The 1,729-nt window shown below is 35.9% G+C and overlaps 1 annotated feature.

Moving 5' to 3' along the window:
• Window positions 829–998: an enhancer, noted in NCBI's record as "experimental_76514 CRE fragment used in MPRA reporter constructs". NCBI's record gives its function as "activates a minimal promoter by MPRAs in K562 erythroleukemia cells, with activity observed for both the introgressed and non-introgressed 4:180481272 variant alleles {active_cell/tissue: K562}" and the evidence as "EXISTENCE:reporter gene assay evidence [ECO:0000049][PMID:34662402]".

Genomic DNA, 1,729 nt, shown 5'->3' with positions numbered 1-1,729 from the left:
TGTTCCTTTTTCCATGTTGCTAAACCCCAAGTTTTTTCATGTTTAATCCTTCGAGGAGCTTTCTAAAGCTTTCAAACCCCACACTCCAGCTGTCGAGGCCTGGCTGTAGGTGGAGGGAATGGAACTCTTCCTGACTCCACTCACCAAGAAGAGTTAGTCCAATTGCTTATTGGCACGCTGAATTTCCTGTCGGGGAATGAGATGAGGTCTTAAATTATCTCTGCCACATAAAACTTATGAGAAATCTTGAAACGGTCGAGTATATCTGCCTGTAACTGATCAGACATGGACCACCTAATGTGAAATTATATAAAAACACATTGTTAGAGTTGTAGTTAGAATTGCTGCACTGATTTTGTGGGCTTAACAGCCATTGAGATGAAGATGTCATTTAGGTTTGGTTCTGTGCCCTAAAATTAGCAGCGTTCCTCCTTGGCATTTTTATCCCCAACGATGCTAATTGTTCTTCCAGCACTCTGTTTAATTTCTGTGGGGTTTGCTATTCTGCCTGTCATCTGTCTTCCTGAGCCTCTGTCAGTGATCTATGAGGCAACTGATTGTTCCTGTCAGCCTACCTTAAAGAGCCAATGAAAATGAACACCTCTGAAACTGCGCCCAAGCAACACTGGCTTCTGATGTGTTCATTTTCACGCCCCTCTTTGGCTACACTCTATTACTTTCATCTTATATGCTATTTTATAATGTGACCTTAGTCATAAAAAAAAACCCTACTTGAATTTTAAGTGGTACTTAAGAGAAAGCAATGTTGTGAAAAAGGAGAAAAAAAGGAAAATAGGCTTTCTTTTTAAGGTGTTGCTTGTTATATGCGAGAGTGTTAATCACAGCCAGAATGAGACTTTCAAATCTCAACAAAATAATAGATCAATGCTTCTGAGTTTTTAGTCAGGGAAATGTGTTTTCTTATTTTATAGAAAACACAACTTCTTTGATAACCTTGTTTTTCATCGTTGTGTAAAATATGAGTTTATATATTTTTATTTAGTTTCTGGTTGACTGGGCATACTATAGTGTTATAGTGTTTTATATGAAATCAGCACATAATATTAAAAATGCTGTCACTCCTAAATAAGGGTGTGGAGGAGACTGTATGTTCAAAATGTTCCAGTTTATATCCTGAATTTTTTTGAAGGACTTCCTGCTGACTGGTGTGTGAATTAAAATTTGAAATTTCTCTATTAATCATGCCCATTTTGTATTAAATGTATATCCAGATAACATCTACTTCAAAAAGTTTATGAAGCTAAAATGGTTACAGAGTAATTTATTAAAATGGTAATTTGTTTCTTTGGTCTTTGTATTGTCCTCTCCAGTGTTCTACAAATTATAGTTGGTTTTAGGCTTCATTGCTTCAGAGAATTATTTTTGGGGGGGTGCGGGCAGAATGGAGTTGCAGTCCAAAGTCAAGGTTTGGCCTCTGCTGTGGACTGAATGTTTGTGTCCTCTCCAAGTTTACAGGTTGACACTCTAATCTCCATTGTGATGGTATTTGGAGATGAGGACCTTGGAAGCCAATTAGGGTTAGATTCAGTTATGAAGTTGGAACCCTCATTATGGAATTAATGCCCTCAGTAAAAGAGGAGATTTATTACAACTGAATTGTACACTTGAAAATAGTAAAGATGGTAAGAGTAAATGTGTATATATATATATATATATATATATATATATATATATTTTTTTTTTTTTTTTTTTTTTCTTTTTTGTGACG

This window comes from Homo sapiens, chromosome 4 (genome assembly GCF_000001405.40).
Source record: "Homo sapiens chromosome 4, GRCh38.p14 Primary Assembly".
In the NCBI taxonomy this organism is placed as follows: domain Eukaryota; kingdom Metazoa; phylum Chordata; class Mammalia; order Primates; family Hominidae; genus Homo; species Homo sapiens.
The sequence above is the reverse complement of the archived record's forward strand: the minus strand, read 5'-3'. Positions and strand labels throughout refer to the sequence as shown.